At 41.4% G+C, this 15,912-nt stretch overlaps 2 protein-coding genes across 20 annotated transcripts in view; one reads left to right on the forward strand and one right to left on the reverse strand.

The window, feature by feature from the left end:
• The window catches only part of GPR89A (G protein-coupled receptor 89A), a 62,663-nt gene extending 60,598 nt beyond the window's left edge, over positions 1–2,065 (forward strand). For 5 of the 7 annotated variants that reach the window (NR_036541.2, NM_001097613.3, XM_011509908.3 and 2 more), the window contains 2 exons: positions 1,040–1,105; positions 1,249–2,065. Coding sequence is in view for 6 of the 7 variants with exons in the window: in NM_001097613.3 (NP_001091082.2) it covers positions 1,040–1,105; positions 1,249–1,455 (273 nt within the window). In the remaining variant the exon portion in view is untranslated. The remainder of the gene's footprint in view (positions 1–1,039; positions 1,106–1,248) is intronic. The other 2 variants (XM_006711492.5, XM_047428704.1) reach the window with 1 other exon arrangement.
• Positions 2,267–15,912, reverse strand: part of PDZK1 (PDZ domain containing 1) — a 36,549-nt gene continuing 22,903 nt past the window's right edge. For 3 of the 13 annotated variants that reach the window (NM_002614.4, XM_047422527.1, XM_047422529.1), the window contains 6 exon segments: positions 2,267–2,904; positions 4,145–4,435; positions 5,072–5,296; positions 9,864–10,060; positions 12,327–12,522; positions 13,915–14,051. In NM_002614.4, the coding sequence (NP_002605.2) occupies positions 2,851–2,904; positions 4,145–4,435; positions 5,072–5,296; positions 9,864–10,060; positions 12,327–12,522; positions 13,915–14,051 (1,100 nt within the window). In that variant the 3' untranslated portion in view covers positions 2,267–2,850. 13 annotated transcript variants of the gene reach the window in all.

A 15,912-nucleotide genomic window follows, 5' to 3' on the forward strand; every position in this document is an offset into this window, starting at 1 on the left:
TGGCCAGAACTTCCAACACTATGCTGAATAAGAGTGGTGGGAGAGGGCATCCCTGTCTTGTGCCAGTTTTCAAAGGGAATGCTTCCAGTTTTTGCCCATTCAGTATGATATTGGCTGTGGGTTTGTCATAAATAGCTCTTACGATTTCGAGATACGTCCCATCAATACCTAATTTATTGAGTTTTTAGCATGGAGGGCTGTTGAATTTTGTCAAAGGCCTTTTCTGCATCTATTGAGATAACCATGTGGTTTTTGTCTTTGGTTCTGTTTATATGCTGGATTATGTTTATTGATTTGCATATGTTGAACCAGCCTTGCATCCCAGGGATGAAGCCCATTTGATCATGGCAGATAAGCTTTTTGATGTGCCGCTGGATTCAGTTTGCCAGTATTTTATTGAGGATTTTTGCATCGATGTTCATCAGGGTCTAAAATTCTCTTTTTTTGTTGTGTCTCTGCCAGGTTTTGGTATCAGGATGATACCCTAACTCATTTTATGAGGCCAGCATCATCCTGATACCAAAGCCTGAATTCATCTATTTTCTAATCAACGTAGGAAGACTTCACGGAGGTGGAAAGTGAGTCCTCTCTGGTAGGAAAGGTAGGGATTTAAAAATCCAGGAGCTTTTGAATGAAAGAGAAGTGGCTGGGACAGGAAGGGATCTGCAGGCATCTAGCACAGTTTTAGAAAGAGCGTGGGAGCCTACTAACAATTACAACCGCTTGGAGTGGGCTGGAGTGATCTGACTTAATGTTTTATAGTGATGTTAAGTCATATGTATCACATAGTTTCTGAAGTTTGATAGCAATAGGAATCCTTTCATATGTTATGTAATTAAATTACCCCCAGGGGGAAAGTATAACTTTTTCAGCAGTCTATTTTAAGTCTCTTCTTTATAGTCTTAATCATATGAATTGTTCTATACAGGATTGTGGCATGGAAGAGACACTTTTAATCAAATGTTAACCATATTTCTTACTGTTCGTGACACAGGAATCTAACACTACTGCATAAATTCATCTCCCTCTTTCTTGACAGTTCTTTTATGCCATCTCTAGCAGTAAGTCCTCCAATGTCATTGTCCTGCTATTAGCACAGATAATGGTAAGTTTAATTAGTTACCTTTATGTTTACAGCTGTAAAATATCAGAAATGTGCTTGATACTTTTAAGAATTTTAATAATTTCCTTTGTCCTGTTCCTCACTACATTCAGAGTCACTTCTGGATTAATTCATTTGACTTACAGGGCATGTACTTTGTCTCCTCTGTGCTGCTGATCCGAATGAGTATGCCTTTAGAATACCGCACCATAATCACTGAAGTCCTTGGAGAACTGCAGTTCAACTTCTATCACCGTTGGTTTGATGTGATCTTCCTGGTCAGCGCTCTCTCTAGCATACTCTTCCTCTATTTGGCTCACAAACAGGCACCAGAGAAGCAAATGGCACCTTGAACTTAAGCCTACTACAGACTGTTAGAGGCCAGTGGTTTCAAAATTTAGATATAAGAGGGGGGAAAAATGGAACCAGGGCCTGACATTTTATAAACAAACAAAATGCTATGGTAGCATTTTTCACCTTCATAGCATACTCCTTCCCCGTCAGGTGATACTATGACCATGAGTAGCATCAGCCAGAACATGAGAGGGAGAACTAACTCAAGACAATACTCAGCAGAGAGCATCCCGTGTGGATATGAGGCTGGTGTAGAGGCGGAGAGGAGCCAAGAAACTAAAGGTGAAAAATACACTGGAACTCTGGGGCAAGACATGTCTATGGTAGCTGAGCCAAACACGTAGGATTTCCGTTTTAAGGTTCACATGGAAAAGGTTATAGCTTTGCCTTGAGATTGACTCATTAAAATCAGAGACTGTAACACTTTTGCCTTACGTTCATTTTATCAAGCATAGCTTGGTATTTATTATGCTTGTGTGATCTAACATCAGTTAGCATCCCACACCTCCTCATCTGATCCTGCCCCATTAAAATAACCAAGAAAGAGGTTATCTGTTCTTTTCCGGGAAAGGGGTGGTATGCACCTGAAATAGATTTTACCAAAAGAGAGATTTCAGGTATGTCATTTTTTCTTGATTTCCTGTGAACTTAGTATTATACCCTACTTTCAATTCGGTAGTGATGTTTCCTTTTTTTTTTTTCTATCTGCCCCTCACGCTGTGGGGTGAAACCGTGAATAACTTAACTGGGGGAATAAGTCACTTGTGAAAGGGAAATGTTGAAAAATTTTTAGAACACTCAGACATGCAATTTAAGAAAATTCTGAATTTTATTACTAAGGTCTTATTCTGTACTTTATTGTGTTTTGGGTTTCTAGAGGCAAATGAAGGTTAAAGCATAAAAAGTGAATCCAAAACAAAAGCACTATCAAGCATACTCAAAAGGCATTTGTTAATGGTATTTATTCTAGCAACCACAACATTGTTACAAAAGCACAATTTTAATAGGCTTATCTGCTAAGATGCTTTTATAAGCAGCTGTCACCTATACAGAGTTATGAATCATCTTTGGTGCTCAAGGAACCTGTAGAAGTAAGAGACATCATCATACAGAGAAATGTAGTTAAGTTAAGTTGAAGCTTGGAAAAGATCACATGAAAAAAATCTAGCTCTTGCCTTATCTCTTCCTAAGTTAAGCATAAATTAGCCGTCTGCAATAGCCGCCTGTAAGACAAATGATAACAGAAGACAATCACACATGGTGAATGGTTTCCAGTGGAGTTTTTCTTCTAAAGAGACAGTAAACAGGTCACAACTCATTCCTTGAGAAAGGATTCCTATTAAATACCCAGAAACAGCTATCAAATAAACAGCCAAAGCTATTACTTGTTTTCATCACATCTCTGTATCTTCAGAATTGGAAGAAGAATGTGAGGCTGTACTGTGGGCCTGTGTATAAGAAAACAAAGAATTTACAAATGGTAGAGTAATGAAAGAGGGATGATCTATTCTAGAGTTGCATGACTTAAGTCGGGGAGTAGAGTCACTCACTAGAATTTCTTTCTTTCACAGCATGCAGTTGACAGCAATTGTGTAGAGCTGATAAATCAAGTAAAAAGTTTATCAGTATTGTAATGGGAACCCCCAGAAGAGCCTGAATCAGATGATCTGGGTATGACTAGAAGTCAGGTGACCTGAATTCTACACTTGATTGTTTTCAACTTGCTGTTTGACACATTAACAAATTCCTTAATGTCTGTGTATATTTCTTTTTTATAAGACTAGGATATTGACTTCCTAAAGAGAAATTACAGAATTTTTAAATGACAACTAATACAACTAATAGTATTTATTAAGCATTCCTGAATACAAATCAGTGGGCATTGTGTGTGTTCATTAAACTGAGTTTATTAAAATGAATATTCCACCCATTAGCAGAATTAATATAATGGAAAGAAGAACAACATTGAATTAAACTTTTTTAGAGTCTCGGCTTTGCTATAAATTTCCTTTATGAACTTGGATAAGTCAGTTTACTTTTCGACCTCAAGTTCATCTATGAAAAATTGGGCAAAAATATAAAACTGAGACTTACCAAGAAATTTAATCCAAATATATAGAGAATAATATAGAGAATGCTTAATCTTTCCTAGTAATAAAACTGGATTACCTGTCAGTTGTTTTAAACAATATTGTCTTTAACCGTCACCACTTACATGCTCACTATGAGCCAGCCACTATTCAAAGCACTTTAATATAGTTAATCTTAGTTAACATGATCCTGATAACAATCCTACAAATTATTCCTGTTTTATGGGTGGGAAAACTGAGGAACAGAACAAATAAATCCATTTCCCCACAGCTGACAAATGACAGAACCAGAATTCATATCTAGATCATCCGATTCAGGCTCTTTTGGGGGTTCCCATTACAATACTGATAAACTTTTTACTTCTTGATTTATTAGCTCTAGACAGTTGCTGTCAGCTGCATGCTATGAAAGTAAGAAATTTGTTGTTCTTATACTGCCTCCTGTCCTCTACAATAACTTGATTTGTTAGTTATCTTTACATTTTCATTTTCTAGTTTTAAAAAAATCTGTGGCAAACATAGACATTAAATATACTCATAGGGACTGTACCCATACTCTAGTAAATTAGATCACGAAAAGAAATAGGCCCCCACTCACCCGTTCTTTTGCCATGTGCGAGTCATGGTTTGACTCCACCACTATTCCTTCTTTAGAATCTGGAGGGGTGTCAAGTGGATCAGCCAGGGAGGAAACAATAGGGATTTTCTTAGCTTGGAAATAATCATAGGCCTTCTTTCCACAGACTAGAAGTGTGACATTCTTCCCACTGCTCTGGATTCTATCCACCACCTTCTCATAGGGTTCATCTAGCACATTCACCCCATTCACTTCAATGATGACATCCTCATCCTCTAGCCCAGCCAAGTCAGCAGGACCGCCCTTCTGTACCTGTGAACAGAAGTTCTGAGTTATCAATTTCAAACAGAGAAGGGGACATCAGACTAGCTCTCCTTAAGAGAATAGATGAGGAGCTCAAGAATTTATTTTTAATCATGTTATTATTTCTCCTTGAGGTATAGAAGTTGAGAAAGGTGTTCTAATGCTTTTATATTTATGAAGGCTATAACTTCCATATTCACATGATTAGTGGTATTATAAATAGTGGTTCAGCATCATATGTCTTCTGGGATGAAGGGGGATAAATAGGTCCCCCTTCTTCACTCCCAACTTGAAAGCTTTAGGGATTCTTATCAGTCCCTACAGGGTAAGGGGCATTATGCCAAATGCACAGAAGCAAACAAATATGACTGCCAATCAGGGTTGATAGTGACTGTCAACTAGAGTTCAGTCAACTCACACTGTTTGGAACAGATGTTTGGGAAACAAACAAACGTGAGCTTATGATGTACTGGTAGCTAACCTAAAGGGTGTGGGACCATGACAACATTTATCTGAACCCAAGTGAGACCCCTCAGTGTGTGCCTTCAATGGAACCTCTCTACTAAGCCATCAATGGGTGGGAAAAGCTGAGACTATCCTAATTGTGGCTGTGTTTGTTGGGCTGCTGGAACCAGATTACCATACCTCTTTGATGAATGAGCCTGGCAGACCCCGAATCGCATTTAAGTGAAAGCCATAGCCATTTTCACCTTTAGCCAGCCTGCAGAGTTTAGGCTTATGATCTACTTCCTCTGTAGTATCTGGTGGACTTGAGACTTCCAGAGAAGTGGGAGTAGGAGCTGGAGCCTCCTTGACAGAGCCATTGGGCAGTTCTTGACTTTGATAGTAGAGAAATGGAGAAAAATGAGCCTTTTGAAAAATAAAGGGAAAAAACATTAACTTAGTTGTAACCATGAGTAAGTTATACTTTGTTAAATGTGCTGATTTTTAAGGTATCATACATATTCCACTCTTCTTCTGGATGTGTCTGATTGTAGGCTGTAAAATTCCTCTACTACCCCAACCAGGAAAGGTATAAAAGAAGACTGTGCTTCGTTATGGAGTAATATGTGTATACATGTACACAAATGCACACATGAACATAAAAGCAGTATAGGATGCGGTACAAGGATCCCAAAAGAAGTCTAAAAAATTGCTAGTTTCTTTTGAGTGAGTTCATGATAGTGAGCAAGTCACTGAACAAGCTATACATAATCTCCCTGTTGGGAAATGACATATCTGACCGACTAGCCGGTACCTCATGCAGAGTACATTCTTCTGGCTTTTCCTTTCGGTAAGATGGTCTTCAGAGCTCCTTAAACACATTAGAAAAAGTAAAACACAAGACACTTGTGATAGTTAATTTTAGATGCCAACTTGACTGGATTAAGGAATACCTAGAAGCCCGGCAAAGCATTATTTTGGTGTGTGTCTGTGAAGGTGGTTCCAGAGGGGATTAGCATGCGAGTCTGAGTGAACTACAGAAAAGGCAAAGGTGTCAGTCTGTCTGCTAGAGCTGGGATACCCTCTTCCTCTCCTGTGCTTGGACATCAGAATTCCTGGTTCTCCGGCCTTTGGACTCTAAGATCTACAGCCGCAGCCCCCCAGATTCTCAGGCCAAATGCACAGAAGCAAACAAGTAGGACTGCCAATCAGGGGTGATGCCAGTAATGTGGCTCAGTCAGATTTGGACGGAGCCACACTACTGGCATCCCAGGGTCTCAAGCTTGAAGACAGCCTGTCGTGGGGCTTCTCAGCCTCCATAATCATACAAGCCAATTCCCCTAATTAATCTCCTCTCATACCTGTATCTATATCCTACTAGATCTGTCTCTCTGGAGAATGTTAATATAACACTATTTTTATCACTATCCAAAGATTCAAAGCTACTAGAAGAGACCAACCCATATACACAGGAATAATTGGTGAGAGGGTGACAGCTGTTATATGGTCACATATTGTAACAAAAGTTAATTCCAACCCTTTGCTGCTTGCCAATACCCTCCCCTTCCAGACCTGGGATCTGTGCTTATTTATTTTGCTATGTATTGTTGTAAGCATTAGCTGTCACTTCTATTATGCCAAACTCTCCAACATCTTTAAATACTCCTAATTCATATCAACTCCCAGACCATCCATGTAAAGAAATGATGATCTTGAATACCGAAGAGGCATAGAACAGGAAACAGGATTGATTTTTTTGTAATAGAATTACAAGCCTAACTGGCTGTTTTAGTTGAGACAATTAGAAGGGTGGACCTGGGTATGGTGTGATCCTGGATCAGCAGCTAAATGGCTGCCCACACGTGTCCGGAACATTTGTTAGGTGATGAGTAGGAAATCAAGCAATGGAAGGTGAGCACAGTGTGGGCTCTACTTCAAATCGCACTGTTTAGCAGCCTGACTAAAATTAGATTTTTAGTCCTCTGGTTATCATGTGTCTTACTAACCACAAGACCACATCTCCTTCCTTTCTAAGTGAGAATACCACCAGCACAGAACCTCCTAGTTACCCAGTTCAACTAACTTCAGACCTTTCAGTCATATACTTGCAACAGTTCCACAATGGAGCCTTTCTCTTTAAAATATGGAAAATTATCAGGTGACTCATTACATGCAAAAATACGTCTGATAACACTACCCAAACAAGCAAATCAACTGTATCTGACAGTCGCAGCTCATCTCGAGGCAAAGTGCAATAACATTAAAACACTTGAGATTTTGGCCGGGCTTGGTGGCTCATGCCTGAAATCCCAGCACTTTGGGAGTACAAGGTGGGCGGATCACTTGAGGTCAGGAGTTCGAGACCAGCCTGGCCAAAATGGTGAAACCTCATTCTCTACTAAAAATATAAAAATTAGCCAGGTGTGGTAGCACACACCTGTAGTCCCAGCTACTTGAGAGACTGAGGCAGGAGACTCACTTGAACCTGGGAGGCAGAGGTTCCAGTGAGCTGAGAACATACCATTGCACTCCAGCTTGGACAACAGCGGGAGACTCTGTCTCAAAAAAAAAAAATGAGATTTTATTCATGCTTCATTCAGATAATTGGGTGTCTAGTATGTGCCAGGGACTGCTAGAGGGTTGTGTTTTACTCACTGATGTATCTCAAAGATCTACCCTCCACCCCAACCTACAGGGCTTACTTTGGAGAGCGGGGAAGGAGATGATGAGGGCAGGCTTCTTTTTCGATCAAAGTTCTCTATTAACCAAAACAGAAAAATTACAATTAAATCATTCTATGATAAGATCAGGAGGGGTCAGAATCCCCTTTACAACAAACAGCTGCAGCAGCCGCCTCTGATTTCTGCTTGACTTTCCACCAACTGCAAAATGACTCATCATTTCTGGCAGCTTCAGTTGGTTCTTAAGCCAAAAGCTAGCTCCCTATGGCTTCTCTGGTCCTGTTGTGCCCCATAGGACACCTTAAAAAAAATGTGTGGCCCGGGCGTGTTGGCTTATACCTGTAATCCCAGCACTTTGGGAGGCCGAGGCGGGCGGATCACAAGGTCAGGAGATCGAGACCATCCTGGCCAACATGGTAAAACTACTAAAATACAAAAAATTAGCTGGGCATGGTGGTGCGCACCTGTAATTCCAGCTACTCAGGAGGCTGAGGCAGGGGAATCGCTTGAACCCGGGAGGTGGAGATTGCAGTGAGCTGAGATGGCACCACTGCACTCCAGCCTGGTGACAGAGCAAGACAACGTCTCAAAAAAAAAAAAAAAAAGTGTGCTCCTTCTTACATGTAATAGCCTTTCAAATTCTTGAAGATGCTCTCTTCTCCAAAGCCTTACTCAAGCTAAATACTCACATGGTGGCTTCCAAAACCTCTTCCCTGGTTACCCTTGTCATTGCCTTCTTAAAGTGAAGTTCTTGAAACCGGACACAATATTGATTGAACAAATAGAACATTTAGATGTGTGAGGCATTATTCTACATGCTCTGAATATTCCAATTCAACCCTCATAGCCACCCTTCGCTGTAGCTACTACCCCTCTCTTACAACTAAGGAAACTGAAGCACAGAGAGAGGTGGTAACTATATTACCAGGTATTCCAAGTATGGTCTGACCAAGTAAGTACAGTAAGATGGTCATCTCTAGAAGCCAAGTGTCTGTCAGTTAATTTTTAAATTACCATATTTGGATGGGGCAACCACTTGGACTATGAAGTTTCTGGTCTTTTTCTGTAGTCCTCAAATCAGGTCTCACCATGTGGTATTCATACAATTTACTTTTAGGTTAGTATAGTACATCTGAAATTTATTCTTATTTCTTTAGTTTTCATTCTTTCTATCCTAACTAAATATTTTGAGTATTAATTACACCATCCAGCAAATGAATTATCTAGTGCCACTTTAAGTATGTTAATATATTTTCCATATCTCCTTTCAACTTTAAGCACATAAACGGTTAGGAACAAGTAGCATGCCATTAGAGACTTCTATTCAAGTTGATATTCAGGTTGATATCAAGTATTTTCTAGGTATGATTGTTCAAGTAGCTAAAAAAAAAAAGCCATTAATCTAATTAATTGTTTAATCCTGCTTACAAGATTATCTTGAAAAAATGTGCTGGGGAGTATGGTATAATGAATTACGGGTCCAAGAATTTGGGTTCAGATACCACCTTCAGTCTTTACTAAGCTGCGTGACTTTAGCAAAGTGCTTAGTCTCTCTAAGCTTCGGTTTCCTAATCTATGAGGAGGGCCTAAGATATCACCACCCATCATATTCCCCCCTCTGTACCGCTTATTTTAGATTCTACTATCATTGTATATCACAGAGGACATTTATCTTGTTCATCTTTACAATCAACACTTAGCAAGACAGATGGTACTTAGAAGGCCCCCCAGGTTATCTGTTAAACTAGACAACCTCAGTTCTTGTGTTAAAAGTAAAAAAAAAAAAAAAAAAAAAAAAAAAAACCTTAAAACATGCAGTAGTGGGTGTTATGATAAAGAGCTGTTAAGAGAAAATAAAGTTAGTTTGATTCAGGTTGGTCTTGGTCTATCTGTGTTTCTTTTTTATTTGCTAAGGGCTTACAAGTTGTTTAATAATCCTTTCTAGGCTTTTATGTGCAGTTGATAGCACTTAACTGACCTAAAGCTTAAAATCTAATTGTTTCCTATTTTGGGAACAATTTTATTTCCAGGCTTATATTCTCCATAGATTTTCTCAGATCACCAAGAGTAAGCCTGCAGTTATATTCACAAATTCTTTCAAAATCTTAAGACCAAGGACTTAAAACTCATTTATCAATCATTTGGCATTCTCTTATCACTACCAATTTGAGTTGAGCTTCAGTTTAGCCTTAATGATGATTGTTATGCCTCTTCCAGTTTGAGGAACAAAGTCCTAACTCAGTGCAAAAGTTGAGGTCATGAGTGAATGGGCCCAGCCTTAATGCATGAATATATGGCCTTGTATTACTTACCAGTCTGTACATGTTGTCCGTCTCTTTGTCTACCACCAACAGTGAAGTCTGATCTCCACCCTTTCTAATCATTTCTACCACACTGTCATGATCCAGGGTTTCCACAGACTCGCCGTTGACAGCAACTACCAGATCATTGTTCTTCAAGCCAGCCTCCTCTGCTGGACTTCCAGAATCTATGTCCTTGATGATTTGACCTACCCTCCCCCAACCCCAAAAAATAAAATTATCAGTAAGTCCCCTAAAAAAATAAAACAGATTTTCTGCTGGAGCCCAAAGCCCTGATGAAACAGATAAAAAAGGCATGCTGAGTACAACTACCACCCCTTCCACCAGCATCCCAGGAAGCTTATAAGCACACTATCTAGGCTCGTTTCCTGCTCAGAACTCACCCCAGAAACTAACCCAGCAATTAACAATGAAGGGGTCTTAACGAAAATAATCCTGTTACTAAAAGCGTCTGACATTTGATTTTGGCAAAATAGCATATTAAAAGGCTGCAAGTTCCCAGAAAGTCAGTGGGCATACTTGTAGCCACGCGTCTTATGTAAAAGCTGTCATAAAAGATGGGGAAGAATAAAGAACAAAACCCAAAACTTTGGACCTTAAGAAACCCAGGCTGGCATTTTAGTAGCAATTGGGTGTGTTCGGTTTTGAATATATTTGTATATACATGCCTCCATGTGCTTTGGCCTTCTGGTATCTTCACCAGATGCTGCCTTTTTTTTTTTTTTTAACAAGTTCCTGTTTCACTTTTCCAGCTAGCTGCTGGGTATCTCCAACAAAATATCTCATAGATCTCTCAACTGTAATGTATTCAAGCCAAAAATCAGCTCTGCCCATTCTCCATCCCAAAGCCCCTCCTCTTGGTTACCTGTTAGTGGAGCAACATCATCCCAGTCACCAACACTTGGCAACTGATTCTTCCCCAGCATCCAGTCCCCATATCTAGACGATTGCTAAGTCCTCTGATGCTACCATAATACCTTACACATCCCACTTCCTCTACCCTGAATGCAGTTTGTATTAGTTCCTGCCTAGAATTCTACCTAAACTATTACAGCACCTTACCTACTGCTTTCCCTTCCCCAGTCCTTCTGTCTGATACAGATCTGCCTTCAGATCCATCTTGGTGCACATTCCTAACCAAGTCACTTCCTGGTGCAACAGAATGAGCATGGGCTTTGGAACTAAACAACTATTTGACCTTACATAATTACTGTATCTTCTCCAAGCCCTCAATTTCAGCAGTTCTTCTTGCATAATTGTTAGGAGTAATTGAGATGTGCAAAGCCCCCAAGACATTATAGGCTGGTTTTTGTTCTTCTCCCTTATACTGCTCAAAAAACAACTCCCCATTGTCTGATAAGCCAAGTTCAAACTCATCAGTCTTGCATAGAAGTCCCCTTGTCACCTCTCTCCAACCTACCTTTCCAACGAATTCTTGTACTACACATCATGTGCCAATTAAACTGTGCCAGTGTCTCCTGACTGTGTTCACATGATTCCCACCTTCCTGGAATGATCTTCCTTATCCCAGCTCTGTCTACTTTCCCAAATCTATTCATGTTACAAAGCCTGAACTCAAGTGCCACCCCTACTATGAGGGCTTCTGGTACCTTTTTAGTGAGAAAAGCTTACTCTAACGTTGAATTATCACAGTGCTTGATCTGCCCCTGTATGAAGGTACTTAACCTCTATCTCCCTTCATTATGGACATATCTCTTATCTACTAAATGGTAGACTCCTTCACTAAAGAATTCCTGTCTGCTTCATATGATATTCTTTCTCCAAGGCACTGAGGATGTTTTTACAAAACACAAACCAAATTAATATTTGATAAATTAATGTAAACAGAGAGTGAAAAGAAAATAACAACTTATGGGCGAATAGCAGTTTATACGGCCCGAACTCATGTTCTTTTATGTATTTACCTTCCCTGAAAGAACCTAGTGTTCTTCCTATTGAGTTGCAAGGAAGGAGGACTCCTGGTTCTGAGTCCCAAATCCTCACCCACACCTCGGCCTCAGGTCCAGCGGTGTGCTATACTGGCTCACACCGGCTCACAAAAGCCAATTCTGTGCAACACTTCATTGTGTTCAGTGACATCGTGTTAGTAAGTTGAAACTGGACATGGGAGGAGTATTTACATCACAAAATACTACCAATTTGGTACCAAAAACAAACGCTACCAATTTGGATTTCCCCCCACCCCCGCCCCAGAGAGCTAACTTACCAGGATACCGTTGCCCAGATCCCAAATTCTGCCTTATCATAATGCTATGGAAACTTTTGATGCCCAACATCAGACCCTCATGTGACATAGACGCTGACCCAGCTGTGCCTTCTATGCTATGCCGCTCATGCATCTGGCTGGGAGTTGGGAACCTAATGGAACTCTGGAGTCAGAATGGGATGAGGAATTTGCTGGTTACTGCCAAGTTTCCTGCTCTTGTACCTTACCTTTCTGTTCTGAGCCTGCCCTCAGATAGAAACCATAGCCATTGCTTCCTTTCTTCATCTCCACAATTCGGGGCTGGTGGGGTAACAGTTTCAAACTGGCTGTTTCTCTTTTGAATTGTATCTTCTGCTCAACATGACGCTTGTCAGTTTCTTTGTCCACCAGCAGGAACATGACACGGCTTCCTGACTTCTTCACCTGTAACAACACACACAGATGAGGAATGACATCAACCCCCAAGAACAATGCTGGGGAATAAGAAAGTTTCTGTATAAAGGCACACAGTCTCTAGGTTCAACAAAAGATAGGGGATGAAAGGCCTGAGTTTAAGCTGTTACACTATGCCCTACCAGCTAACTGATATGTATTTATCGCCTTTTTTTTTTTTTTTGAGATGGAGTGTCACTCTTTCGCCCAGGCTGGAGTGCAGTGGCACTATCTCAGCTCACTGCAAGCTCTGCCTCCCGGGTTCACGCCATTCTCCTGCCTCAGCCTCCCGAGTACCTGGGACTACAGGTGCCCGCCACCGCACCTGGCTAAATTTTTTTTTTTTTATTTTTAGTGGAGACGGTGTTTCACCTTGTTAGCCAGGATGGTCTCGATCTCCTGACCTCGTGATCCACCCGCCTCGGCCTCCCAAAGTGCTGGGATTACAGGCGTGAGCCACCGCGCCCGGCCCCTATCTCCACTTCTATAGTTGTTTTCCCTTATTTAAGTATGACCTACCCACATAGGTGCTAACTGAGCCCAAGTAGGAGCTGGAATTCAGAAAACCCATAAAGGTACCTAGATAAAAGCTAGAAAGGGAGTTTGGAAAAGAAAAGAAAGTAAGGGTCCACGTCAAAAAATCATTCTACAAAGAGAAGGTTGGTCAATTTTTAAGGTTCCATATGACCTCAAAGGAAAATCTCGGTTATCTCCCACTTCCTATTAAAGCATTTCAGTATTAACGGCTCAACAGTGAACTTATTGTAAATTCAGAGGGCGCAGTGGCACACGCCCATAATCCCAGCACTTTGGGAGGCCAAGGCGGGCAGATCACTTGAGCTCAGGAGTTCAAGACCAGCCTGGCCAACATAGTGAGACCCTATCTCTACAAAACACACACACACACACACACACACACACACACACACACACACATAAAAATTAGCCAGGTGCGGTGGTGCACACCTGTAGTCCCAGCTACTCAGGAAGCTGAGGTAGAAGAATCATCTGAGCCCAGGAGGCCGAGACTGCAATGAGCCGAGATTGTGCCACTACACTCCAGCCTGGGTAACAGAGTGAGACCCTGTCTCAATCAAACAGTTCAGAGGGGGCTCCCAATCAGATACAAACAAGATCCAAAAGGTAAAGTTAATAATTTTGTAGACCTCATGTGAAACTAGGGAAGGCTTTATTCCAAAACCCTATATTAACACTGCTTATACCACTAGTGTGAGTCTGTTCACCCTTAATATGAAGGGGCAACTCAACTGGATATTTTTTCCATCATAAACTCATGCTGTCCCCTACCACCCCTGTCTTCCTGTCACCTCCAATGAGAATAGAGTGGAAGATAGGGTAAGAAAAGTACCCTTTGGGGCATACCTTTTCAACCACTTCCTCATGGCTGGCATCCTCTACATTCTCTCCATTCACTTCAATCAAGTGATCATCAGCCAGAACTCCAGCTCTCATAGCCACACCTTGAGGTGTAATATCAGTCATGTACACCCCCTTTTTACCTGGAAGAGAGTAGGGGTAAACTCCATGTGGAGACACAAGTGACTCCCTCTTGGATGGTAATCTGTGATGTTGACTTCTGATTAGCCCCAGTCCTGTGATTGCCTCCCGATTTCTACTTCATTTACTGTCCCTAGTCTAAGAACATGTCAACCTTAATGTTATCACGCAAATTATAGGCTATGATGCACTATAGCATTCTTGGCTATTGCGGAGGGCTGCCTTCGATTGTCTTGCTGGAGCACATATACCCTTTCCCTATGGTATATCAGCCTTGGGTCTGGGGAGTAACACAGAGATCTACATGTTTTGTGGCTGTCCAAGACCATGCTTCTGTTCGTAAGTTCCCCTGATAAATTCCAATGTACCAACAAACTGGATTTGCCTGCCTTGTCCTTTGGTTTCTCAGCTCCTTTGGCCTTTGAGGGACTGCTTTGCATACACCACCCTTTCACAGAACACTCCATTGCAAAGAAAAACTCGAAATCCAATGGTAAAGACTTTTCTCCCAATAATGTGAAACAAACTTCCGATTTTAGAGCTAACTCGGCCTTTGGCTTCTGATCTAAAATCACAGTTATAGGTCCTGGCACTGAACTTGACACAGCCTTTACTCAGTGGGTATTTGTTGATTTGAATAGAATTTCTGAGGTCAGCTAAATGCAAAGATGGAATCTTGGGTGGCCTTGGCCCCTTGAACCAGAAAGCGCTAAAACATGCCCACACTGCATTATTGTGTCATACGCCCTTTCTTTGCATTTGTAGAATCAGAAAGCATCTTTACCATTCTCTCCTCTTCAGTTTGTACTATTATATTAGCCATCGTATGCTGTGGAGTCATCTCACCAATGTAGGCTAACAAGGACAGGCACAGGAGGGAGGGAAGAACCCGAATGCATTTAGGTGGTGAGATTTAGGTGCTACTTATAGAAATGCTGTCAATTCTTCAAAGATATTAATAGAGCAGTTCCCCCTTAACCATGGGGGATACATTCCAAGACCCCCAGTGGAGGCCTGAAACTTTAAGATAGTATACCGAACCCTATATGTTTTTTCCTGTGCTTACATACCTACAATAGAGTTTAACTTATAAATTAGGCACAGTAAGAGATTAACAATAACTGAGCTAATCTTAGCAACCTCAGCATACAGTATTTTTTCTTTCCTTATTAAATCGAGAACTTTTCACTTAATAGAAGCACTTTACAGCCTTTTTTTTTTTTTTTTTAACAGATGGAGTCTCGCTCTGTCACCTAGGCTGGAACGCAGGGCCGCAATCTTGGCTCACAGCAACCTCTGCCTCCCCGGTTCAAGCGATTCTCCTGCCTCAGCCTCTCGAGTAGCTGGGACTACAGGCGCCTGCCACCGCGCCTGGCTAATTTTTGTATTTTTAGTAGAGATGGGGTTTCGCCATGTTGGCCAGGCTTGTCTCGAACTCCTGACCTCAGGTAATCCACTCGCCTCGCACTCTCAAAGCGCTAGGATTACAGATATGAGCCACTGTGCCCGGCCACTTTACAGCTTCTCTTTGTCATATCTGAACTGCCAGCATCACTATCCTTGCATTTTTGGCTTTTTTTTTTTTTTTTTTTGAGACGGAGTCTTGCTTTATCGCCCAGCCTGGAGTGCAGTGGCGCAATCTGAGCTCACTGCAACCTCCGCCTCCCGGGTTCACACCATTCTCCTGCCTCAGCCTCCTGAGTAGCTGGGACTACAGGCGCCCACCACCACACCCGGCTAATTTTTTGTATTTTTAGTAGAGACAGGGTTTCACCGTGTTAGCCAGGATGGTCTCGATCTCCTGACCTCATGATCTGCCCGCCTCGGCCTCCCAAAGTGCTGGGATTACAGGCGTGAGCCACT

The sequence above is a fragment of the Homo sapiens genome, chromosome 1 (assembly GCF_000001405.40).
Source record: "Homo sapiens chromosome 1, GRCh38.p14 Primary Assembly".
NCBI lineage: Eukaryota > Metazoa > Chordata > Mammalia > Primates > Hominidae > Homo > Homo sapiens.